This window comes from Homo sapiens, chromosome 3 (genome assembly GCF_000001405.40).
Source record: "Homo sapiens chromosome 3, GRCh38.p14 Primary Assembly".
Lineage (NCBI taxonomy): Eukaryota > Metazoa > Chordata > Mammalia > Primates > Hominidae > Homo > Homo sapiens.
This window is the reverse complement of record NC_000003.12, coordinates 70,943,891-70,970,851: the sequence shown is the minus strand read 5'-3', so window position 1 is coordinate 70,970,851 and position 26,961 is coordinate 70,943,891. Positions and strand designations below refer to the sequence as shown.

The window sequence follows — 26,961 nt, the reverse complement described above, 5'->3', positions numbered from 1 at the left end:
CAGTCGACTGTGTTTAACTTTGAGTTTTTATGTTTTTCTTACACAGTAACCCTTCCCTTATTAAAAACATGCAGAGCAGCCACGCCTACTGCACACCTCTCAATGCAGCTTTACAGGTAAGATTAACGGCCGTCCCGAATATGCAGCAGAGGCACAGGTCTCCCCTACTCATTTCAAAATATATTAGCCTTGCTCTAATTAGATATTAAATTTTAATTCCGTTAAACTTTTTTCTTAAGTGCACAAAGCATCATACTCCCTGGAGGCAAACACATCGGGCTGCTTCAGCGTTAGCGGGATGCTTAGCATTTTGAATATTGTGGCAAAAAAATTAAAAGTTCACTTATTAATATTTATCAGCAGTATCATAATTTCCATCCTCTTATTTCAGAATTTCACTTGAGGCAAAAATACCACAAGTGTAATTACTCTAGCACAGCTATTAATGTGCTGGATGATAGGCCACTGCGTCACATGACCTTCTATTGTTCATGGGTTTAAAGAGAAAGCAGGGCTTTGTATTTCTTTTTCTTCTTTTAAAGTCGACTGTAGCATCTTGGCTTTTGTCTGGGGTGGGGAGGATCTGGGGTCTGGTTCACTTTGTAAAAGTAAACCATGTCTGTTTAAACAATAGAGGTGTTTAAGAAGACTCTTTAGTTTTCCTGCAGATTGTTCAAGATTACATGATAATCACACGGAGTATTTATTTCCTACTGACAAACCAAGTACTTGTTACATCACCAATGGTACCAGGAGATGAAGACGCGGGTTTTGAGCAGGAGCGAGATTACCACCCAAAAAGGAGCTACCTGAGGCAGCCCAGCTTCTAGCAAACTTTTTACATGTTGCACATTTCAGTTCTTAAATGAAGGCTACTCCAGTGTCATTTCATTAAAGTACCTGGGTGTAGTACTCAAGTCCCCCCTCAAGAGTTCATAAGTAAGCAGTATCCTTTTGGCCAGTGGTCCTGTTTTTGCCCCTACCCAGACTGTTCGAGAAGCATATTCTATAGATAAATCTGACATTTGTCATCCAATACCATTGCAGTCCTCTGCAGCATACATTCTCAATGGGGGCTGTATCACCCCTAGATTGGTTCTGAGATACTGCAATGTCTTGTGTCCTTCCAAAGGACCATAATACTTGAGCAAATATGAACATTTCTTGGGGTGAGGGCAGAAAGAGAGAAACAAAAGTCTAAAAAGGGACAATAATGAAAAAACAGTTGAGACCTTTAGTATGATGGGAACAGGATGAGGAAGGAGGAGATACTGACAGGAGCCCTGGGTCTTGCTCTGCATTAAACAGATATTTATGGACATTAAACAGATATTTATGGAGCACGACTCTGTACCCTACAGGCCCAGAATAGTCTTAAGGCTCCTGGGAATTGATGATAGGCCATTTACCCAGTTTCAGTTTAGAGGCAGATTCACTGGCCTTAGCATTTCAGTAATTATATTTATTTATTTTTAGCCTGAACCAGATTTAATAGGAGAAACTACTTTCTGCGTTTCTTTTAATTACTTGTAGTTTACACAGTAACTTTAGAAGAGTAAATGAAAGCATGCTTCGATGCTGCCACTGTAAATACCATTCATTAGTAACTTATTTTCCCTGGAGTCTTGTGAAGTGTGAATTTAAAGCCTGCTCTATCTGGAATATGGAATAGTATTAAGATTACAAGCACATTTTATATTCATGAGCCGGAAAGGCAAAAAAAAAAAAAAAGTGATCCTCCATCCTCTGAATTCTCTTAACTATGTGACTAATTTCAATTAGTATGCTTTGTCATTACAGAACTGTTCAGGTTTCATCTCTGAACATTTGCTTTTGGCATCTTCTTCAGTAGCCCAAAACTGTCCTGCCGTTTTCCAAGAACACTTTCCGTCCATAATGAGGCAAGGGGAATAAATTGATACAAATTCATGATTTGAGAAGTGGATTGTTTCCCTCTCTTCTACGAGTTTGGATCCCTGATCAGTAGACAGACACATAAGACAACTTTCTACTGTGCAAATTAAATAAGGATTCTGCCAGCAGGCCTTCCTTTCCATTACCGCCTATTTCCATTTTTCAAGACAAGTAAAAATAATAGTGGAACAATATCTTCAAAAAAATTACTAGAGCAACATAATGCATGATATACAATATATAAAATAGGACAGCAGAATCCACTACAGAAATAAAACATGGGACTTGGGACAGATTGCATTATGCTCTGAAAAGTGAAGTAACTAAGGGTAACCGTAAAGCTTCGTATTTATAGACTGCCTTTCCCCTGAGGATCTCAGAGTGGTTAATGTTCCAGGAGCGAGGGTGCTTATGGACTTCTGCACCATTACTTAAGCAACTTCATTTTTTGGCAGAGGTGCCAGCTTGATATGAAACCACATGCTGTGCAAGGACCATTTATATAATTAACTCCATTTTTGTAACACACCTGCTTCTAAGTGGACATCAACTACCAAAAAAAAAAAAAAAAAAACACTTTGTTAGGCAGAAGCAGTTAGTGAAAATTTATCTAACCTTGGGTGGGTTGCTCTGATCACTTGCTTAACAGAGAGCGTGTTCAAGAAGCTCTCTTGCGGATCAGGCACTGGGATCTCTCTGCAGCCCATTTGATCATTTTTTCAAGGGACAAGGCTGGTTTTCATCACTTACATCGTTCTTGCCTGAGAACCCAGGGATCAGTATAAGTGCTTGCCTTTGTATGCGTTTCACTACTGTGGCTGTTGGGTCTCAGCCCATGTTCTATGATCCAATCCCAATCAGCAATGGCCTTGACCTAGAATACTTTGAGAGCCAAAGAGAATAAATACTCATCCCAAGAAAGTTGCCTTCTCTAGAGGATGACAAACTCATCCCAATGAACACGTTCATATCAGCATTTCAATTTTGTCTTCACAGTTTTTGACCAGGGAAGCTGCTAAAATAATTAAGCTAGCAGCAGCCCCACTTTTGCCACATTCTGACCTTGGAATAGTGAAATTGTCTTATGAGAGCTTATCTTATGGTATTTCCAGTGGAAAGACACTCAGCAGAATTTCTGTGACTGAGACAACAGTGGTCACACCTCTCTCAGATAAAAGCAGTTAAGATGCTTGTCCAACTGCAGTTTGCAAAAAAAAAAAAAAAAAACAAAAAAAAACAAAAAAAAAAAACAAATAATAGTAGTTCTGGCAACTGCTCTGCCAAAAAAAAAACAAAAAGAAAGAAAGAAAAAAAGCTTTATCGCAATTATAAAAGAGCTGTTGGAAAAAGTACTTGATGCAAATTATTTGACACACTGTAGGAGAGTGTGGAATGTTCACATTTGCTGTTCATCAAAATGAGTTCACCACATTTGGAAATAAACACAGGATTTTCCCCCTACTTTTTAAAAGAAGGCAGTTATACACATTTACAAGTAGAAGGAAGGAAAAGCTGTGGGCTTACATAGGGCCGAGCTTTGAAACAGTCCATTATCCAATGCTGTGTTTGGTGAGTGTGCACAGGACTTCTAACACAGGGCTTGTACCTAGAAAGCCCTGGCTTTGCGGTTTGTACAGTGAGTGAGGCTGCGATTGTCATACTAGCCAGACAGATTTCTGCAGCCCAGCTTTGCACTCTTTTGGCTTTTACTTTCTTTCTAGAGCCAGGATTTCTAGAATAGTTCGGACTCTTGTATGACTGGCCAGTGGAAGTCACTATGCCAGATCATCTTGTGAAAAGAAGTACATCTAATGTACTTTTCTTCTCATTAGGATGGAAAAGCAGGCATAGTCTAGTCTGCAGGAGGACAGTTGTGATAAATCTTGGTTTAATTACAGCTGCCAGTTTTTGAAAGTGTCCTCTTTAATGAAATGAAAAGTCAGTGGGTCGTAATCACCACCTGGATGAAACAAATTTTTGGGTACCTTACTTAGTCCAGTGGTATATGTAACTAGCGTCTGCATTTCAGACTTGGTGTCCCTTTTATTCAAATGCAGTATAACAGGAAGTGAATAATATCCTACCTATCCTAAATAAAGTTTAGGATTTCTTCTTTTTCATTTCCTCACTTTTTTGCTGACACTCACGTGGAGTAACTTTGTAACCTTTAATATTGATGTACTTTGGCACCAAAAATAAATATGAGTTAGAGCTTCCCTTTGCCAGAGTTCTTTAGTCCTAAAATCCTAGGCAATTGGTCGGACTCTGAAACACTACGTGGTGTTTCCTTCAACCAGTTATCTCAAACTGCACTAAACAGATTCAAAAATCATTAAAACAGAAATGATGGGAGGAGATAAAAAATTGATTCCAATTCTATAATCTCTTCCTTTTCTATAGGATCTAAGAGGTAAATGTTTATGGAAGTTCTCATAAGTTTGAGCGGTGCGGCCAGGATAATCTGATCAAAATCTCTAATATCCAATACTGGAGTCATCAAAATGGATAAAGAAATAAAAATTCTATTATATTTCACTGTGATCTGGAAATATTCAGCTCCTCTTAAAAACGCATCCGACATAAACCTCATATTCGAAAGCCCGTCTAAACCATGTGACTACCAAGCAGGACCAAATTGAGTCCTTCCTACCCACAGGCACTTGGTCCCCCCTGGCCCCCAGTTAGCTCTTCAAAACCAAGCTTGGGACAGGTGCCACGAGTCGTTTTTAAAGCAAAATCTTTCAACACCTCTTAGAAACTTGTATTTGCCAGCCATGCTACAATTAACTCAAACTGAAGATTATCGAGTACACCCATAATTAGTAGTTTCCTTGTCTTACATACCCTGTGTCTTCATAAATTTTCTCTTGGTTGATGACAGGCTTCAATGGCTGAGAATAGTATACCTCTATACACTACCGCTTCCATGGGAAATCCCACTCTGGGCAACTTAGCCAGCGCAATACGGGAAGAGCTGAACGGGGCAATGGAGCATACCAACAGCAACGAGAGTGACAGCAGTCCAGGCAGATCTCCTATGCAAGCCGTGTGAGTATTGTCCACCCAACAGGTCTTTGCTATCTGACCCTAGTCTCCCTAGGTACACGCAGGGAGACAGCCCTTTCTCTGGGCTTTATATACCTTTTCTGTAATTTCTGATTTCCCAGAACCAAGCTAGAAGTTTGTACTTCAAGAAATGTTCAGCTTGGTTAGTGCATAAAAGGACTATTTGCTAACTTTCCCATAAAAGCAATTCACAGCAATAAAATGAGAAACAGGTTTGCTTTTTTTCCCTCTGCTTTATCACATCCCAGGCCATTATTTAAGCCACACTACTTTTTCCTCCTCAAACTAATATGCATTCCTATGAAAAAGTTTGCAGTTTGTTCAACTTTCGGGCATGTTGAACCTAGCCGAGAGAAAAAGATGCTTGTTTACTTGGTGGTGCACTAAGGTTCACCACGAACACGCCGCCGCAGCATTATTACCAACCATTAATGATGGCACAAATGAAAGGCGGCATGATTTATAGATTGCTCTTAAAATATCAAAAGGAAAATTAATAGGAGCATTATAGCAGCAGACGGCAGTATAATGAGTGCACATATAACTGAATGAAGTGATGGGCGATGGCTGCCCATGCTGAATGTGAATGGAACCAGGACTGCAAACCACAGGAAAGGCGGAGGCCAGGAGACTGTGATGCCCCTGTGAGTGGGTGATGGGAGAGAACTTGGTGTAACTATAACACCCTCTCTCCCAGGAAAAGTTTTCAAACAGAGCGAAGAAACCACATTATTCCAAATGATTGGCTTTGCAGGAGATGCTGTGGGATGACAGTCTCTCCCTTTTAGTGAGGTTCTTCAAAACTGTTGCCCACTTTAAGGTACTAACCCATTTCGTGTTTGCAGTACTGTCAGTTCCTAGAATAGGCTGCTTGTCTACACATTACTTCTGAATTACTGACCAACATCTTATTTTAAGATAATTTAAGTGATCGGAATGGAAATTATGACCTGTAACAATTAGGAGCATATGGAATTGGCATCTAATGACAAAGAAAAAAGTGTTATCTGCCAGCATAATTTGGAGGGTACGTGGAAATCTGAAATTTGATTTTCTAGCATTTGAGTTTCATCTCCACAGCACTTCAGAAAGGATCTTTACTATCCTTTCTGGATATGGAAATAATCATTTTTAATTTATATGAACAGTATCTTAGCATTTGCTTCACAGCATTTTAAGAGTGTGTTTATCTTTCACACTGATGCTGCTATATTTCATCCTTTCCAAAGCAACTTAGTGTTTCCGATTTTCCTGTTACCACATTTGTATTCATCTTAAATCATTGTCATGACACGAGTATTTACTTAGATACTAACGAAGTTCAGAGCAAACGTAAATTGGTATAAGCTACTGCAAGAAATACTCAGAACAAAAATGTCTGGTTATTGAATGGAAGTGATGCTATTTCTCATAATCTGTACAAACTCCAAGTTTTTGTTGACATATATTCCTATTAGTATAAAGAATCACTAAAACAAAGAGATACTTGGATACAAGCCACAGGCACCAGTTCAGAGTGATGCTGATTTTGCTGTACGAAAGAAAGTCACTGCAGGGTTAATTTGTTTAACAAATTTGAATTAACCCCAGTATTACCCAAACCATGTTTTACAATAGTCTTTGTAATTTTTGATGAAATGAAGGTTTCAACTATTTTTTACAAGAAACCCTACACAAAAATGTCAACATGCGTTGCTCAAATCTCACAGGTTTGTGCTGTTTGCTAAATGTAATTATATGTCAACAGCAGATTCCCTGCGCCTGCTATCTGTGTAATAGACTGTTACTCTTTTTGACCTCATATTTCCATTAAGAGAATTCTGTAGTGACAAGAGTTTCCATTCTTGTCCAATATGCATTACCCTGCTATGATGCAAATTGTTTTTCAACTGTTCCAGTCTATTGGAATAAATCAAGCCATAAACTTTACGGCACGGCTTGAAGGACCTTGTTAGGAAGGCGGCCTAGCTAATATTGAGTGTTGAAACAGAACTCTTCATTCTTACCCTTTCTGTGACAGTCAGATACCACTACGTTTCGTTCGTCCTTTGAAACACTAGAAAGTGGTCACATAATTATGGCTTTGGGGCATTCTACTTTTATCCTGATAGGCGCTAAAGGAGCTACAAAGCAAAATACTCCATGCTGTGCAGACACCCCCAGAACACAATGCCTTTAAACGCCAGTCAGCTTTATTTTAAAACTCTTGTGTTCCCAGAGTGGCTAAACAAAGGAATTACTCAGATGTAAGGAGAAGGGAAATGTGTGGTTTTGCACACAGTTATTCAGCGGTAGCCCTTTCGGAAGTAGGAGTTGGAGAGAAAGGGTGGGGGCAGTGTCTGCAAGGAGAGGAAGGTGCATCATACACAGCCCTAACTTCCAGGAGACACGGTGAGTGTATGTGAAGTGTAGTGTCTTCAGTAGTCTGCATCTCATCTCAAATGTATCTTTCGTGGAATCCCATCCTCTTTTGTTCTTTGAAGTGCTGTGTGCTTGTGCTACACGTTTGCCACACCCCAGGGGTATCTGCCGGCATCAAGAAATGTCCCGAAATCGGATTTCACTTCTCTAAAGTTTCGAAACCTTACTGTCTAACCTGGTTGTGTCATCAGGTGGTCACACAGTAGATCTAGCCAGTTAACATTTGTTGGGGACCCACTCTGCATCCACTCTGCATGAGGCACTGGGAGTCGAGCCTACAGGCATGACAGGATCATTACCTCTGTCTTGTGGATAGTAAATAATCCTCATGAATTTTGGCTACCAATTTAGGGGGAAAACGTGTTTTGTTTATTTGTTTTTTCACTTCTACAGCTTTTAAAATTGATACCTCGTAACTACATATTTTGGGGGTACATGTGTTATTTTGATACATGTATACAATGTGTAATGATCAAATGAGGATAATTAGGTAAACGAAATATTCTCTGATGTTGTGAACTGTGTTTTGTGGGGCTTTACATGCACCTGATTTTTTGGATAAGGTTAGCAAAATATTGGTCAAAGTCTAAAATTATACAGCAAGAACTTCATTAAGATGGAGATGGATGGTTCTATTTCTTCTAGGGGTCCTCATCCTCCTTCCCCCTCCCCAAGGTCTTGTATGATCTTACATTCTTCTATCATTCAATTCTGGGTTATAAACATGAAAAGATTGATAGACCTGATAGTTAAGAAAGTAGGAAAATGTTGATTTGGAAAACAACATTTGAACCTCAATCAGCATATAGCTAAAACATAAATTTCAGTAATTTATGAAGTTGCAGTTCTCAACAATGAAAGTTTGAAACAAACATTAGGAAATGTTCACCATTGTCAGTAATCTGAGAAACACAATTTAAGGTAACCTGAGCTTACCTTGTACCTGCTAAGCAACAAAATATTTTTCACAAATAATGCTTGCTGCTGATGAGATTGAGTTTAAATTGATAGCCCCTTTGGAAGTTAATATCACAATAAATCATAGGAACCATAAAGATGTTTTGGCCTTTGCTCTAACAATTCCATTCTTAGAAATTTATCCTAAGGAGGTAAATCAACAGAAATAGAGTAGAAAGATTAATGGATAAAAGTGGTCATTGTATTATACAAACAGTAAAAGAGAAAGAGAAAGATGATCCTCAAATGCCTAGTATTCAGAAACTGACATATGTCAACACAGTGGAATCTCATCTAGCCATAAACATTATAAATTGTAAAGCTAGGAAAATTTAAAAAATAGCATTCCTGCTGAATTTACAATATTTAAAAATATGACCTCAAATGGAAACAGATTGGCAAAAATAAGAAAACTGGCCTTAACTAAGGGTTTGTGTTTTTTAAAGGAATCATCATCAGCATAACTAATTCTTCCTAAAAGAATGTAGGGTATTTTAGCAGAGCTGGTTCACAGGTGTGTGACATGCAGTCACATAGGATCTCATGCCTAAAAGGACACTGCACTTGATTTTATGTGCTTTTATTACCTTTTTATTTAGAGATAGGGGTCTTACTGTATCACCCAGGCTGGACTCGAACTCCTGGGCTCAAGTGATCATCCTACCTTAGCCTCCCAAGTAACTTGGACTACAGGCACACACCACCATGCCTGGCATGTACTTGCTTTAATGCCATTTTTGTCTTGAAATTTTAATTTTTGAGCCAAAGACCCCAGATTGTCATTTTGCACTGGGCTTCCAAAATTATGCAGCCAGTCCTAATTCTTACTGCTGAAACACTAATACAGCCATTAAAAAAAAAAATCCCCATCCGTAATGCTTAATACAGACTGCTGGGAGGGTGACTCCCCATGCAGCCTTCCTTGCACTGATGTACAACTGTTCCTTTTAAATAAAAATATCCGGCGAGCCATGGTGTCTCACGCCTGTAATCCCAGCAGTTTGGGAGGCCAAGGCGGGTGGATCACTTGAGGTCAGGAGTTCAAGACCAGCCTCACCAATATGGTGAAACCTCATCTGTACTAAAAATACAAAAATTAGCCAGGTGTGGTGGTGGGCCCCTGTAATCTCAGCTACTTGGGAGGCTGAGCCAGAAGAATTACTTGAGCCTGGGGGTTGGAGGTTGCAGTGAGCCGAGATCCTGCCACTGCACTCCAGCCTGGGTGACAGAGCACGACTATGTCTCAATAAATAAATAAATAAATAAAATAGCTGGAGAGCCATACATAAAATGTAATGTAATGCAACTTTGCTACATTTTGTTTTGCAAAGTTTTTAAGAATAAAGAAATTATTTTTTTAGCAGCCGGGCGCAGTGGCTCACGCCTGTAATCCCAGCACTTTGGGAGGCCAAGGCGGGCGGATCACGAGGTCAGGAGATCGAGACCACGGTGAAACCTCTTCTCTACTAAAAATACAAAAAAATTTAGCCGGGCGCGGTGGCAGGTGCCTATAGTCCCAGCTTACTCAGGAGGCTGAGGCAGGAGAATGGCGTGAACCCGGGAGGCGGAGCTTGCAGTGAGCCAAGATCACGCCACTGCACTCCAGCCTGGGCGACAGAGCAAGACTCCGTCTCAAAAAAAAAAAAAAAAAATTATTTTTTTAAAGGTAACATCTAGCCCCCCTAAATGCTCTCTAGGCTGTGCTAATTTTAGAGTCAATTGATTCTGAAGGTTCCTGTCTTCAAGGGCAGTCCAAAGCACTCCTCTGTTTGTTTTTAAATGGTTCAAGGGGCCTTTGGGGTTTGCATACAGCATCAATTATTTAGGAAGCCAACCATCCCCATTACCACCTCTTATTACTAATACTTGATAACGTCAATTTAAAAATCTTCCCTTCTGCAGCCTGTCCCAGAGATGGGACCATTTTAACTCAAATGGTTCTTTTACATATCAAAAGCCCCTGCAACAGAAAGTCATTTGTATATGCAAAGGATCAGTTGTAAATATGATTTACGAACAACATTTCTCAATAGTTATCCGAGCGGTTTTGTGTGATCACCCCAGTCCCCTTTGGGTGAACCATGCGCTGGTCCATAATGAGAAAGTTGGCAGACCTCATCGCAACCACGCTCATCCCAGTGGCTGCTACCAGCCGGGCCTCATGTTTTGCCTTGTTTACAGCTGACAGCGTTATTATTCTGATTGGGGCTCTGCTTTCTTATCATATTGTTGTGTTGAGCGAGCCTTTTCCTCTACGTTTGTGTTTCCTGGCAGGGCTTTTCTTGCCTTATTGACAGTTTGTAAAAATATGCATTAATTTGGAGTTTCAAGCATGTATATCATGGTGTCTCTTTGCTGTGTTTGCTTGAAGTTGATTAATGATAGAACCTCGCTTGGGGTCGTCCTCTGGAGAGTTCTTTCACAGGTTCTGCATGTTAACTAGCAAAGCAGAACACACAGCAAGCCATGATTAGCCCAGCCTCCTCTGCTCAGTGGTCCCCACAAACTGCCGTTGCATTACAGATTCTTATTTCGTGTAATTATTTGAAGATGGGTATTCATCCACCCAGGATGCCACTACGGGACCTGTTATCTGGTACTCAGTGTGGTTCTAGGACCACCGGCATCACTTGGGGGCTTGTTAGAGATGCAGAGTCTCAGGCCCCACCCCAGACCTGAATCACACACTGCATTTCAACAAGGCCCACAGGTGACTGCAGCGTGTGTTAAAGTATGAGAAATGCCACCAGGGAGGAGAGGCCCACACCAGTCCAGAGACTAGTGATTCAGAGCATCACTACCCAAGAGAACTTTACGCAGTGATGCAAATGTTCCGTCTGTCTCTGTGCTGGCCAGAATTAACCGCTAGTCACATGGGGCCTTTGAACATAAATGTGGCTAGCACAACTCAGAAACTGAATATTAAATGTAGTAAGATTTCGTTCATTTCAATTTAAAGAGCCACGTGTGGCTAATGGTAACAATACTGGACAGAGTTCTAGTTCTAGAGTGCGGCTTTTCTGTTGCCCCAAACTTTTCAGTGCACCTGAGCTGCAATGGGCTGGGAAGTACCCTCACTGAACCTCTGCATATTTTTTCCAGGCATCCTGTACACGTCAAAGAAGAGCCCCTCGATCCAGAGGAAGCTGAAGGGCCCCTGTCCTTAGTGACAACAGCCAACCACAGTCCAGATTTTGACCATGACAGAGATTACGAAGATGAACCAGTAAACGAGGACATGGAGTGACTATCGGGGCGGGCCAACCCCGAGAATGAAGATTGGAAAAAGGAAAAAAAAAAAAACACGTCAAAAGTTAGCAGTGAAATTGTTCTCCATTTGTTGTACAGTCTGGAGGATTTTCACTACGTTTTGACAACTCTGAAATGTGTTAACTCTTAGTGCCATCAAGAACCCCATTTGGGAGTATTTTTGATTTTTCTACTTTTTGTTGAAAAAAGGAATTTGTACTCTGTGCATTGGATGGACTTGTTTGGTACTTGGGATTTTCCTCTCTTAACCGTCAACATCAGTGTTGTAAATTTGCTAAACTGATTCACTTTTAGCAGCAGACTTTGAACTGCAGTCCTGCCAACGTTGGACACTGAGGACGCCCGACAGAGCTTGTGCACCTAAGCTGCAGACCAAGCCTTTGCCCAGAATTTAAGGATTCCAATGGACGACCTATTTGCACAGTACTGCATGTTGATTATCACTGCCTTTACTCCTTTTTTTTTTTTTTTTTTTTTTTTTTTTTTGCTTCCAGTTGGGATGGGGAAGGCCTTTGTGTGTGTATTGGGGGGAGGGGTTAAAAAATAATTATCCCAAACTTTTTAATGTATTGCTTTTTTTTTTTTTTTTTTTCCTTCTACTATACCATTTTAAGTTCTGACCTCAGGCCTCCATTTGGGCCGATGGCCTCTTGGAGGCTTAAAGTTTTCTGTACCTTGTGATGAATGTTAATAGGTGTTTTTATTATACAAAGCTGAATGTCATTTCTCGTTTGTAGCTTTCTGTCACTCATTCCATCTTCCTTCAGACATCACCACGTTTCTCTAAAGTCAGAAAACATTCCGTTTTGGTCTTTTTCAAAAAGGTCCCAAATGCTGCACTCTACACATGAAGGCCCTCTCACACAGACGTGACGTCCTGCCAGAAAGAGAATGAATGACAGAAAAAAAAAAGAGAGACAAACTCTAGGAACAATGCCGATTCATTCCACGCAGCAGTATTGGGGGTGGTTCGGGGGAGGGGTGTTTCGGATTTTCTTTTTTTCTTTTCTTTTCTTTTTTTTTTTTTGCAGCAACCATTAATAAATGCCACCACATTCTACCAGCACAAGGAAACATAGGCAGCACTGAAAAAAAAAAAAAAGCTCATATTAATTAGACTGACAATATGGCCTTGGAAGGCTCTCCCTTGTGGAACCAAGTTGCCATGGGCCTTGGGTGCTCTGCGATAACGGGTGTGGGTTGGTTTTGTTTGCAAAATGGCCAAAAAAAAAAACCGGCTTCCCCGAGCAGCTGCCCTGAAAGTAGGGGTGGCGGCGGCGGCGCTGAGTTTATACATTAGTTCAGACCTACTTGGTGGCATTAAACTGTTTGAATGCAAATTCGATTTCAGATTGAACTTGTTAAGGGAGTTAACGAGGGCTGAGTTCAGCAAATGCTAAAGTGTTAATTTCAAATATGCAAATTTGGTACTGCAGTTTGTTATGCAATATTATATCACCAACCCAGTATCACAAAAACTCATAGAAGATATCATGTAGGCCCTGGGCTTTGGGGGGGTCCCAAACATGGTATGCAGAAATGTGATGGTTACAGGTCAGTACAACCTCAGTCCTTAGAACCCCTCCACACTTCAGCTCTGCACCCACTTTCCTGTCATTTATTTATATAGGACTGTAGTTTTTTTTAGTTCGAGAGCCTTTCGAAGCTTAATTTATATTCTTTCTTTGTACCTTTTTTCTAAAATTACCAAAGATATTACACAAAGGTAAATTATGTTCTCTGTTTTATGCTTTATCTGATGAAGCCAAATATCCTCTTATTGTTGATCAAAGGAGGCAAAAGAATTTAGAGGCAAATGACAAGCGATAGGCTATTGCAACCTGAGAAAGAGAACTGCTCCTTCATCGTAAATTTAGAAGACCAAGTAGATAATGGAACCAAAGTTGTTACTTTTTTCTAGTAGTTATTTTTCCTTTTTCTTTTTGTGTACCTCTACAGAGACCAAAACTCATTCTCTTAAAGAGATTTTATGGGGCTACTGCAGATAAAAATAGGACACAATATTAAAGGAGCTACAGAAGGAAGGGAGTCCCATCTCAAAAAAAAAATGAATGTATGCCACTGCAATTAGAGTATCCAATAAAGGAGACAGTTTAGAGTCAGGACAGAAAAGCTTCCATAATTGAACTAGATTACATAATAGTATTTCTAGAAAAAGAGATATTTTTAGATTGTATGCCACTTTTGTTTAAGAACTGTGCTGTGATCACTGTATTAATTTTGGTTTATCTTGGCATATATCCTTCAGTTTGTTTTTATTTTTAATTTTTCCTTTTTTTCCGATTAGGCTTTGGTCAGCATTTTTCATTTAAAGAAAAGTAACACTCCCATCCACTCATAAGCTTGGTACAAAAACTTCTCTGGCAGTTACTTTTGAAGCTTCACTCTGCTTTCTGTATAAAGGGCAGTCTGTGGTCACGCAAGACTTTAAAAAAAAAAAAAAAAAAAAAAAAAAAAAAAAAAAAAAAAACTTTTCCAGGCAGCTTCATGATGTGCAGGCAGTAGCCAGACAGGGTCATGGGAAGGGGGCCCTGTGCTTCTAAACTGAGTGGTTGCTGGTTAGTTTGGTATTCAAAAGAGGATAAAAATCTGGTAGATTAGTTCATTCTCAGCATGTGTAGCTAGACATGAGTAAAGATAACAGCATGAGAAACTGTTAGTACGCATACCTCAGTTCAAACCTTTAGGGAATGATTAAAATTTAAAAAAAAAACATTTCACTCAGTTGCACTTAGTCGTATGTCTTGCATGCTTAGTCTAAAGACTGTAGCAAAAAAAAAAAAAAAAGAAAAATTAGATTTTACATATCTTTGCAGGTATCACAGCCTTGCAGAAGAACCAACTGAAAAAAAAATTCTCAGGCTTTACAGCAAGCAAACTTCACTATGATTTTTACAATTCTGATTCTGTATCCCCTGGGGGTTATCCCAGTTGCTTCTTTAGGATGGGGTTTATTACGTTGTACATATATCCCGATGTGTCTGTGTGAATCTTTGTCTTTTTTGGGGGAGGGCAGAGGGCGGTTCTTTTTTTAGATATTGTTCCTAAAAAGGAATAAATGCATACACCTGTTTGTCAAAACACCTTTGCTTTTTGTGCAACTGCTTTATATTAACGATACTAAAAAAAAATAGCTTTGGAAAAAAAACTACTGTATGTAACGGAATTGCAGAATATGCTGCACATGTATTTTATTTAGTTATCCTTGCTTTAAGAATATTGGATGACATTTCCTGACATGTGGGAGGGAGAAACTCCCTAACTTTTTTTTTCTGCTTTTAAACTGTAACATAGTTGAAGATTTCTTTTTTCTGTTCTCATTGATTGGAGCATTTTGTACAGGTTTTGTGTGTGTGTGTGTGTGTGTGTGCGCGCGTGCGTGTGTGTTAATCTGTTTTTTGATACATTCCTATCCCTTGTGTTTATCCTACCACTGCCTTCCTGGCTATCTTAAACAAGTTCATACATTTGAAAAGAAAAAAAAATGTTGTTTAAAAAATGTTTTCTCCTGCTGCAGTAAATATTTTGCATGATGAAATTCCAGGGTCACACTTTTCCAAGTTTATCAGTGAAGTAGTGATTAACAATGGGGAGTGTCAAAACTATTGAACTTTTGTATAAAAAAAAAAAAACTTTACAAGGTGCCAAGATGTAAAGAAAATCTGTTACTTTTTTTTTCTCAAAGAAAAGCATACATTAGGGAGGTAGTCCCGTGTGTCAGACAAATGCACTGTCAGGAATGAGGATCCAACCTACCTGTCCCTAGAGTCCGTCTTGTAAGATGAGTTAGGCTGCCCCTTGGACCAGCCACAAAATGGAATATCAAGGCTTATGTACATACGTGAAGAGTTACCACCAGTCCTGCCACCTTTGGACAGCTCTAACACCATCCCCAGCATCCAGTCAGACCTAGTAAAGAAAACCTTGGATTCTTAACCCAAGATAGGCTGTAAATCACTAGCTTTTTTTTCCTCATGAAAAAAAATAGAGTTAAAAAATATTTCCTCTCTTTTCCATATTCCAGCTGAACTCCGTTTCCAAAGGCACAAAGAAGAGTGTGCTTATTCAGATTTTGAATCTTTTTGGTACCTTTTGGTTAATGACATAGCCTCCTGAAATTCTGGATGTCTTCAAAGTCAGTTTTGCTTCTTTATCCTGAAAATCAGATTTACAATGCTGAAGGCATTTCTTGGGCCCAGTGTAGCTCACGCAATCTCTGCTACCCATAAGCCTTGATGAAGATGATACAGTCCGGACTGTGAGCATGGTGCTTCATGTATATGTGCTGCCAGTAACAAGAATTTTTTTGTTTTGTTTTGTTTTGTTTTGATAAGGCATAAAAGAAACTCATTCCTTGACATCAACTGTAATTCCATCATTCCATGTCTGCGGATACAGACAATAAAAAAAATGTTGTGTAGTCAGTACTAATTACTGACATTATAAGCATTCTCAAATGCAATAAAAATGCTGGTTGTTCACGCTGGTAGTAAAAGTTGCCACAGCCTAAGTTTGTTTCCCTTTCTGACCTGCTGATATTGTATGTTAGGCATATGCCTTAGGTTTATCACCAGCTGCTTCCAATGCAGAATTAAAATCAATCTTAAAGCTTTCATGATCAGGGAAGGCTGAAGCTCTTATCCTCAGGATTTCCAAGTGAAAGTATCCACTTAGAGAATTGGGAAGTAAAAAAAAAAGAGCAAGAGATGTTATCTTTTCTCTTGAGGAAGCACACTCTTATTTTTTTCATCAAATTTTATAAAGAAAAACAAAATGTTTAATAACTAGCATTAAGAGCAAACTAAAATTTCAGAGGAAAGCAATTTCATGAATAATTCATTAAAATTTCACATCTGCAAGATTAGTCATCCAAATAAAATGCTAATGTCAAAAACATGCACCGTCTATAATATTCTCATCAAGAAATCTTTTTGCATATAATGATAAATGCTTAGATTAGAACAAATGATTTTATAAAAATATTCTATCAAAAGTATGCTAGATAATTGCATTCATTGAAGAAAACAGAACTTCAGTACCTAAATATTCCAGAAAAACCATCTTAATTTTGAGATTTTAAAAAAATAATTAGATGCATTTAGGAAATGTGCTGTTTCTTTTTAATATTACTCTATAGTATATATTCTAGGGATTAATGAATTTGAGCATCACCTTTCAATAAAAAATTAAATTGCCAATATGAAAGCAGTATTTTAAGTGGCCAAACCGTGGTAACATAAAACCATTACATATATAATTCAGAGCACATAATTCAGGGCAAAGGATGACTTGAAAATTAACCTCCCAGTCTTTATTCTGCAAAACACCCACCGATGCTGAGGATACAAGTGAACATTCTTTCCCAGCATTGTTTTGAAAAGCCCATATTAGCAAAGTTGTGTGTGTGTGTCTGTGTGTGTGTTTTTAACAAGTAGATTTTGCTATTAAGTTGCAAACTAGTGTCCTCTTTGAATTAACAATTATGCCCTATCTAGAAACCCCTTAGTCTCAATAATTAGCAAAACATTTGAACCTTTAATTCTCACCTGGCTACTGAGACTATAATCTTAGGGTTAATTCAAATTCCTGTAATTACCAGGCTTAAACCTAAATACTGCTTACAGCCTATACATTAGTAAAATTTAAAAATGTACAGATACTTCTTTTAATAAACTGGAGGACCTAAACCAAGTATGACGATATGTTAGTGAAGATTTTGCTGGTTGAGGCATAGTACATTTTAACTTATATTTCAGGAATTGTTCTCAAGCAGGAACACTCTTTTACATATTTATTTCAGGCTTGTCACTCTCATAAACGAGGCAGCAAACCCAAAATATTGGCTCTTCTTATAAATAGGCGCCTTTATATAAAGAACATAAAACTCTTAAGACTAATTTCACACCAACACAGGCAGCTTCATAATAGTAACCACCTCTCCCTCCCCACTAAAAAAGATAAAAACAAAGTATAATTAGTCTTTCTTATTAGATTTTTGTCTTTGATGATATTACGTATTTATGTGTAGGGTAGTAATCACAATTTATCCTTCATCTTCATTGTAGTTGAATCAAATAAAAGTATTCTTTATTCAAATAATGTGAAGTTGGGTGTCTCAAACCTTCATTTAATGAATTGATGAAAGGTTTAAGACAAAATTCACGTTGGAGGGAAATTAAGTTACATACAAAAACACTGGTTTTAACTGTGGGACAATATTTGGATTAGAAAACCATCTCTAGATATAACCTACTTATATTTATTTTTAAATGGTATTTTATTTTTTAAAATAACAAAACCCAATGTTGTCTTATTTCCACTTTGATTGTAAAATGACATTCAATGCTTAATACCAAAATATATATATATATACACATTTGAAATTATCAACGGTCCTTTTTTTTTGGTTTATATTGAAAATATTGTGAAGGGAAAAAGACAAGCTTCAAGTTATAATGTTAATTTGAAGGTAACCGGCCTTTCAAGAATTAATTTCAGCCAAAGCAATAATCATTATTTACCAGCGTGTGACATTTTTATCACTCATCATATTAGCAAATTTCCATTGAAAATGCTAAAATGGTTCGTCATAAGGCAGATAACTGCTCGAGCTGTAAAAATGACCAACACAAGTGCCGGTACTCAAACATTAAATTATACTGTAATTAATAAAGACAGTTAAACTGTCTACTAGCAACAGCAATTTAGGTAACCACATTTGATCGGCTATAAATTGTAACTACATTAAAATTCCAGAAATATTAGCAATATGGATTACTTGATGGAAGTCAGTGCTGATCACCAACTCTTTCTTTCTTTCTTTCTTTCTTTTTTAAACAACGGAAGCACAGGTCATGTTGACCACAAATCCGTGGGCGAAGATCAGGCCTTAGCACTTTTAATCTTGTGAAACAAGCAATTACAAATAGTTGCATCGATTTGTTAAAAAGCTTTAGGTGACATAAATTGTTTCCTGTTTAGCTTACTGCTCTGATACATAAATGTCACCAAGCCCAGTATTAATTAGGGCCATAGAACAGCAGAGGGTGGCCGATATGGCATCCAATCAAGAATTTGTCAGTCCTTTGTGAAAGTTCTGAAGGGCTGCTCTCACTGGCTCATTTCTCATTAGTGACAGAGAGAGAAAAGGAAAACTATTTTGTTATGCGAAGTCTTTAATACCAGCTTGATTTTGGGTTTTAAACTAAATCGCAGGATTTCAGACTTGCTTTCTTACTATTGGACATAAAACGCCACATTTTAAAACTATCTTCTAAACAGAATAATATTTACAAGGCATTTCAGCCCCTGAAAAGCTAACCCTTTTTCCCCTTTTCAATATAGGGTACTATACATGTTTCCTTGGGTTTATATTTCTACACTTAAAATACAATTTTAAATGGCTTTTGCACGCTATTGACTTAACATCAATCAAATGTATCATATATACTTTCTTTAGGTTGGCATGCCACTTAGAAAAATATGTGAGATTCTGGAGGAAAAAAGTCTGGAGAAAATTTATTAAACAGAAGTTTTTACTGTAATAGAATATTAATGTAAGCCAATGCTCTTTTGCCATTAAGCTGATCCTTTTTTTTTTTTTCAAACATACACATGCTTTTTATTATTTTGCACTCAAGCAAAAATTCCACATTCAAAGACTTTCCATCTAGTCGGGAATGTCTCTGGCAAGAAACATGTCAAGAAATCCTGACCTCCCGAAAGACATCAGACATCATTCACACTGCGCATTCACCCCACTGGGCAGGGAACACAAGCCCACTTTCCCCAAAACGTAACGTAGATGCTGGTCACCAGTGGGGAAGAGGGGGAACAATTACTCTTTAAATCCTTCCTCACTGCTACTCCACCAGTGCACAGATGAAAAATGTTTGATTTGCAACATAAAAGATTCATTAATTACCACTTGAATATTTAAAGCTATTTTGCAGTCTAACAGAGATAGATAAAGCAGTGAATTAAAACCTCTAATAAAATTGTAAAAATAGTTCGGTAAGTTTACCCGTGTTATGATTTAGGGAGAGATTCAAGCATTCTCGCAGAATAGATTTTAGCATTTTTCAAGCGTGTATTTGAAGGAAGGAGCTAAGTGTTTGGGGAATAATTTGTTTCACATTTTCAAATGTTTACTAATAATTTCTTTTCAAATCAAGCTTGCTACTTTAGGACTCTATGGATAGAAAAAAAAAAATCTGCCAAACAGGTCGGAGCATTATTTGTCTGACCAGAAATTTAAATTCTTTAGAAGTATTCAGCTGGCTGTGTAAGAAAACTGCACATGTACCCCCTGAATCTAAAAAACAAAAATAATTTTTTAAAGTGTTCAGCTGGGCTGAAGGGTTTAGTAGCCATATACATAAAGTACTGATTTCCTTCCCACAAAATGCATCACATCTAAAAACACTCACCTCAAGAACACAGCCTAGCAGTCCCTCCCACCCCTGCACAGCTCCTTCCTTCAGTAGATCCATGATCCATTCAGTGTTTGGATCCTGGGATCCTAGAAGTAGACCGTGCCCAGCACACTCTGAAATCAAACGCTAGAGAATCCACATACCAGGCTACCAGTTCCAGCCCTAACCAAAAGAAACTGGGTGACGTTAGCAAAGTTCCTTCATCTCTTTGGTCCTCAGCTTCCTCTGTTAATTGACATTTAACTAAATGATGAAAAGGGTTTCTTCCAATTTTAAAGTTCTAAAGTTTTAATAACATATTCTCCCTTGGGGACTTCTCTTGATGAAATCCATAGTCTCAGCATAAAAGAGTAGTGTGGCACTTCATATTTCAACCAATATTCTGAAATAGTCTTATCAAATCCTGCCTTGTAACTTGCCCTGTCGGAAGGAAATTTCACTAGCATACATGTTTCTATCCACTCATCTATTCATCCATCCATCTACTCACCCACAAAGAAGCTTTAAAGGCGTTAAACGACCTACAGCTCAGAATAAGATAGACACAGGCTTGGCCTCATTGTACCTAATGGTTCACAGGGAGGAGTTGCAGTGCACGCAGTGCCAATGAGAGGGCAAGTACAGGAATACACAGGAAGACCGCCTGCTTCCACTGGGGACCATCAGGGAAGCTTCCTGGAACATGCAAGGTTTAACTGAAACCCAAAAGATGGCTAAGGCTCTGCCGGCTAGAGGGAGGGAGGGAATGTTCTAAGCAAAGGGAATAGCGCTCTGGCAGGATCTGGGGTATGAGAGGTATGAGACTTTCCAAGCAGAGGGAGGCAAAAAACATTAAAAAAAAAATACACTAAGTCATCATTGCAGTTACCATCTAACAATAATTAATACCATCCAGTGCTTCATGTGGTCTAGCTCAGTCATTCCTCAGGAGGTGTTACTGAAATCAGTTCTTTCAGATTGGGAAACTGAGGCACAGCGAGGTCAAGAGACCTGCCCAGCCCCTCAAGATCTCTTCTTCTCTGGCCACACTGGTCGTCTTGCCATTGTGAGCTGATGAATTTGGAGGCCTGAACCCACCAAGCATGCTCTGCCTCAGGGCGGGAAGTTGCTCTTCCCTTTGCCAGGAATGCTCTCTCCCTGGCTGTCTCTGTGGTTCACACCCTCCTTCTCCCTGCAGGTCCCCTACTGCAATGTTCCAGCAGAGAAGCCTTTCCCAACCGTGCAGGGTAAATGGCACTCGCATGGCCCACTCTACTCCCCACTCCATGCCCCATCCCCCGGCCTTCTTTATTGTTTCCATTGCACTTAACCCCTCTCAACATTGTATATTCATTTGTGTCTTTGCTTACTCACATCTCCCTTCCAACTACAAGGGCAGAGACTTTGCCCTTGTGGTTCCCTGCTGCATTCCCAGCATGAAGACCAGGAATCAATGCTCACGTTTGTTGAATGAATGAGTGAACAAACATGCTGCTAGGAAGAGTAGAGGTAGGATTTGAACCCTTGCAATCAGATAACAGAGCCTGCCTGTGTAAACTATTTCATTGTATTTCATAGCCAACCAAAACCAAATATCATTTCTCAAACTTTCACACTGAATCTGCAAGGTGGGGAATGGTCACCAGCATTTTACTGATGAGGATGCTGGGGTCTTTCTTTTTTTTTTTTTTTTTTTTTGAGAGACAGTGTCTTGCTCTGTCTCCCAGGCTGGAGTAGGGTGGCCCAATTTCAGCTCACTGCAACCTCCACCTCCCGGGTTCAAGTGGTTCTCCTGCCTCAGCCTCCCAAGTAGCTGGGATTACAGGCATGTGCCACCATGCCCAGCTAATTTTTGTATTTTTTAGTAGAGACAGGGTTTCACTATATGTTGGCCAGGCTGATCTCGAACTCCTGACCTCAGGTGATCTGCCGGCCTTGGCCTCCCAAAGTTCTGGGATTACAGGTGTGAGCCACCACACCCGGCCCGACGCTGGAGTCTTCTACGTGACATGCTCAAGGTTGCATGGAGAAGAACCCGGGGAGTTGATATTTACCTCCATAACTGATTCCACAGCCCTGTCTATTAGCCCTGGTCCTGCCACCACCTCCAGAGAGCCTCTTAACAAAATAAAGGGTTTTATACAAAGGTACCAAATATGCTCACATAATAATATAGCTTTAAAACAAAGCCATTGACGTCAATTTTTAAGATGTTATGAAGTTATCAGGCGGGGCACAGTGGCTCACACCTGTAATCGCAGCACTTGGGGAGGCTGAGACAAGTGGATCACCTGAGGTCAGAAGTTCGAAACCAGCCTGGCCAACATGGTGAAACCCCATCTATACTAAAAATACAAAAATTAGTCGGGCATGGTAGCACACACCTGTAATCCCAGCTACTCAGGAGGCTGAGGCAGGAGAATCACTTGAACCCAGGAGGCAGAGATTGCAGTGAGCCAAGATCATATCCACTCCAGCCTGGGTGACTCCGTATCACTCCAGCCTGGGTGACTGAGACCCCGTCTAAAAAAAAAAAAAGATGTTATGAAGTTATCAAATAATGTGGAGAAAAACCATCTAAATGTGAGCCCTATATAGGCTGTCATGCCCACAGTTAAATAGTGTGTCAGGAGAACCATGCCCCAGCATGGAACAAGACTGAATTGTAGGCTCTGTCTATTGGGTATCTACTGGGGTATCATGGTGTCTTCATGGCTTGCCTCACCTCAAAGACGAATATTTCTAGTCCTGACTGCAATGGTGAATAGCCCTCCAACTTCCTTGAGTCTGTTTAATGTAATAAGGTACATACATTAGAAGTCTTACTAATAGGTAGAGAAAAACATTTATATCTAGAATTTCATGCCTTAGCTGGGATCCAGCATCCCTGGAGGAACACAGAGAGCAACCATGAGCTCCTTGATGACAAGACTCACTCTGTCCCATTCATGGTGGAGCCACCCTGAGCATGCCTGGCAGAGAAACACAGAAGCTGGGGCTGGGAGAGACAGGCCTGGAACTGGAGCCAGACAAGTGGAATGCAGTCTCCCTGACCTCTTGATGACTGCGCAACTTTTGGCAATTTACTTACACCTCTCTGAGCTTCAGCCAAAATTCTGACATTACAAGAGCATGATAATGATTAAATGAGATAGTATATATATGTAAAGAGTAGGCCATAGAATACATTCTCAATAAATGGGGTAGAATTTTGGGGGGGGGTGTGGCATCAACCAGCCTGTCTTTGTGTGTTTTACAGTCTAGCTGGGAGCCAGGCATTAATCAGTTTCACAGAGAAATATGAAAGTCCATGTGTTACAAGAAGTTGCAGTACGCAGAGCTATGCTCTGACAAGGAGGAATCAGGGAATATGTTTAAGATGTGAAAGATGAGTAAGAATCAGCTAGGTGGATTTCAATGACTTATGTTACCCTGCATTCATTCCCATTTTCTTCAATTATAGCACCCTTATTTTTCATTTGAGGAGCTACTCTTCTTCTATCTGTCAGTATTGCTTCAATAGGATTGTCACCGTTAGCCTGACTGCTCAGATCTAATCCCATGACTTTTACTAAAATTGTTGTAATAAATACTCTTCCTGAAAAGATTGATAGACTAGGACATGGTCCTGGAGCTATAATATGGGAAAGGTAGACCCCAATGAAAGGAAAAAGAGGAAAACAGAAATGAAAGAGAAAGAAACAAAGGTGGAAGCTAAGAACAAGATTTAGATCTGAGACCAAGACCAAGATGGAAAGCCAAGAAGGGAGACTAAACCCCAAGTTGGAAACAAGAAACAGAGGTACCTACACACCAAATACTGATCAATTACTTGAGTCCCTGGATCTGGCCATTCCTGAAGCTAGAGATACATGCCTGGATTTTCAATTATGTGAGTCAGTAAATTCTCTTGTATATGCCAATTTGAGTTGATTTTCTGTCTCTTATAATCAAAGAGTCCTAATGAATATACTCTGGGGTGGGGGGCATTTCACAAAGGCAACCACGTGCATTAAGGCCTTATAGCAGGAGGAGACATTACAAGTTCCAGGACCTGAAAGGGGGCCTATATGGCTGGAGCTCCAAATGTCAGAGACAACATAGGGTAGTTGATGTTCAAGGCAAAAGCAACGGCTAGAACACTCATTATCACGGCTTCCTGAGAAAGAACCATGCAACACACTAAATATATGTTCTAAATTATACTTCTCTCATTTTGCAGATAAAACTAAGACTACCAAATACACTGGTATCAGGGCTAAGAATGACACCTCTTTGGGGCTAGAACAGAAGTAAAATGACTGTTTTGTGCTTTAACAAAATTCAACATAATCAAAAATGCCAAAAAGGGATAGTTGATCCAGGTCATGGAAAAATGACTTGGATGAATTTTATATCACTTCTCTCACAGCTTGATCAGAGGGAACTTGGCTTGAGGCATCACTAGATGCAGGGCTCAAATGCATAATCACAGCTAAGCAGAGCGAGCGGGGGTCACTACACCTAAACACAGCCTCCAAAAGTGGTGTGTTTTTTTTTTTTTTTTTTCAAAAAAATGTCTTTCTGGTATTAAATAAACATGTCAATTAAGAATATGACAACGCCAGGTGCAGTGGCTCACACCTGTAATTCCAGCACTTTGGGAGGCCAAGGCAGGTGGATCACCTGAGGTCAGGAGTTCGAGACCAGCCTGGACAACATGACAAAACCCTGTCTCTACTAAAAATGCAGAATTTAGCTGGGCCTGGTGATGCATGCCTGTAGTTCCAAATACTTGGGAGGCTGAGGCAGCAGAATCACTTGAACCTGGGAGGCGGCAGTTGCAGTGAGCCAAGATCACACCACTTCACTCTAGCCTGGGCGACAGAGTGAGACTCCATCTCAAAAAAAAAAAAAGAATATTACACAAAATATGCTAAAGAGCAAGACAATGAGACACACAGAGAATGAACCCAAAGGTGGCACATATTTTATGTGCTTCCTTCCCCGCTAATGAAATATTCTCCATCTCTCTCCCCCCCACCCATCCTACTCACAAACACTGCCTGTGTCTGTGTAAAAGCCTCACACTCTCCCACCACAGGTGTGTTTCCATGGCTGAAACTCAGTTTGTACACACCTATATGGGGATATCATTGTCTAATTCTGACTGATTGCTGCCCATGCCATACAAGCTGTTGAATGTTTTGAATATTGTCCCTGGTTTCCTCTACGAAGAAAAGAAGATGGCCACAGGTAGTGCCTTGTCCTGTGGACCCAAAGTCAATGTCTCCCGTTTTCACCATTGGAAAAGTCTAGAGAAGGACTATGATTGACCCAACCTGGATCATGCATTGCACTCTTAGACAATCACAATGACCAACAACAGTGGGGAAGGGTGTGTCTTCCAAGTGGCCATGCCTGTGAGACATATATTTGCCAGCCTTACCAGAATCACATTGAGTGCGGGTAAAACTGTTCCCCTAAAAAGCAGTATTACCAGGGAGGTCAAAACAATAGTTGTCCACTACCCCTGTAATGTTAAGCATTGTGTTGCTTATAATGTTTAACACCATCGAAAGACTTAAGTCATGGCCCTCAAATGGCTATAATCTAGTGATACCTTAGACTATTGATTTAACAAACAGTTATATTGAATGCCTACTGTATGTCAGACACCTTGTTAGGCTCTGGGGATTCAGTAAACAAAGCAGAAAAAAATCCCTTCCTTCTGAAACTTACTTTCTAGAGAGGGGAAACAGACAACAGTAAATTAGATGATGATAAGTGGTTGGTAGAAAAATAAAGCAGGGAAGGGGAACAGAAAGCATTGGGGAGTGGGCTGGTAGAGTAGTTGCCATGGTAAAGGCCTCAATGGGGAAGTGACTTTTGAACAAGGACTTCTGAAGGAAGCAAACTAGGTGGATATCATGGAAAAGAACGTCCTAGGCAGAAAGAACAAAGAGGCAAAAATTCTGAGATTGGAGCAAAAAGAGTGTGGAAGAGGGTCATAGGAGGTTATGGGGAGCAGGTGGCACCATGTAGCAATGGCCCCATTGCGAGGACACTGGATTTTCCTCTGGGTAGATGAAAGCCACTGGCGGATTGGGAGCACAAATATGACATCAACTGATGTGAATTTTTAGAGAAGAACACTGGCTGCTGCAGAGTAAACATGGGGAAGCAGATGTGGAAGAAGAGGGGTCCCTTATGAGATAGAGGGTGGCTGGGACCTATAGGGTAGCAGTAGAGATGACAGATGGCAAGAAGACATTATATGTTGAAAAATGACTTGATGGAATTTGCTGCTGAATGTGGTGTCAGGTGTGAGAGATGAAAAGGGTCAATGGAGACCCCAAACGTGTTGGTGTAATAAACTGAAACAATAGGGTTGCCATGTACTAATCTGAGACTGTAGGATAAATAGGTTTCAAGTAATAGCAGAATATTCTTTTGGACTTTTAAGACCATGAGGCTTTCTAACCAACTACAGATGTTGAATAGGCAGCTGACTAAAGGAGCCTGGAGTTCAGAGGTCAGAGCTGCGTACGTGCAGGGGTGTGGGTTAGGTAAGGGCAGGAAAGAGTCCATTATATTTCAGTTTCAGTAACACAGAGAAGATAGAAAATCCTTGTCTGATGAAAATGGAATCTAATTTGGAGAAATCGAATAGTTTGGATTCAATGAAATCAAAAATTTGGAGATTCAGATGACTCATTTTTGGCCCAACACCAGGTGACTTGCTTAATGAACTGAAATTGATGTCCTTGGGAAAAAAATCTCCTATGCTAGCCTTAAAGGAGATTGTTATAACTACTCAGTGTTAAGTTCATTAAACAAAACAAAAAAAACTTTAATTTTTAACATGAGAACTAGAAAAATTCTGTGTGGAGGATGGGGAGAGAAAGACAATGTTGTT

At 39.7% G+C, this 26,961-nt stretch overlaps 1 protein-coding gene across 18 annotated transcripts in view, besides 2 other annotated features; it reads left to right on the top strand.

Annotated features, from left to right (window-relative positions):
• FOXP1 (forkhead box P1) overlaps nucleotides 1-16,144 on the top strand; it is a 629,271-nt gene extending 613,127 nt beyond the window's left edge. For all 18 annotated transcript variants that reach the window (NR_146143.3, NR_146142.3, NM_001244810.2 and 15 more), the window contains 3 exons: nucleotides 47-116; nucleotides 4,796-4,962; nucleotides 11,461-16,144. Coding sequence is in view for 16 of the 18 variants with exons in the window: in NM_001244810.2 (NP_001231739.1) it covers nucleotides 47-116; nucleotides 4,796-4,962; nucleotides 11,461-11,605 (382 nt within the window). In the remaining 2 variants the exon portion in view is untranslated. The remainder of the gene's footprint in view (nucleotides 1-46; nucleotides 117-4,795; nucleotides 4,963-11,460) is intronic.
• Nucleotides 6,909-7,511: an enhancer, noted in NCBI's record as "OCT4-NANOG hESC enhancer chr3:71012492-71013094 (GRCh37/hg19 assembly coordinates)". NCBI's record gives its function as "activates a minimal SCP1, AML or CMV promoter by ChIP-STARR-seq in naive H9 embryonic stem cells {active_cell/tissue: H9 hESC(naive)}" and the evidence as "EXISTENCE:reporter gene assay evidence [ECO:0000049][PMID:30033119]".
• Nucleotides 21,264-21,460: a silencer, noted in NCBI's record as "fragment chr3:70998543-70998739 (GRCh37/hg19 assembly coordinates)". NCBI's record gives its function as "represses an EF-1alpha promoter that drives an FKBP-Casp9 reporter gene in an ReSE screen in HepG2 liver carcinoma cells {active_cell/tissue: HepG2}" and the evidence as "EXISTENCE:reporter gene assay evidence [ECO:0000049][PMID:32094911]".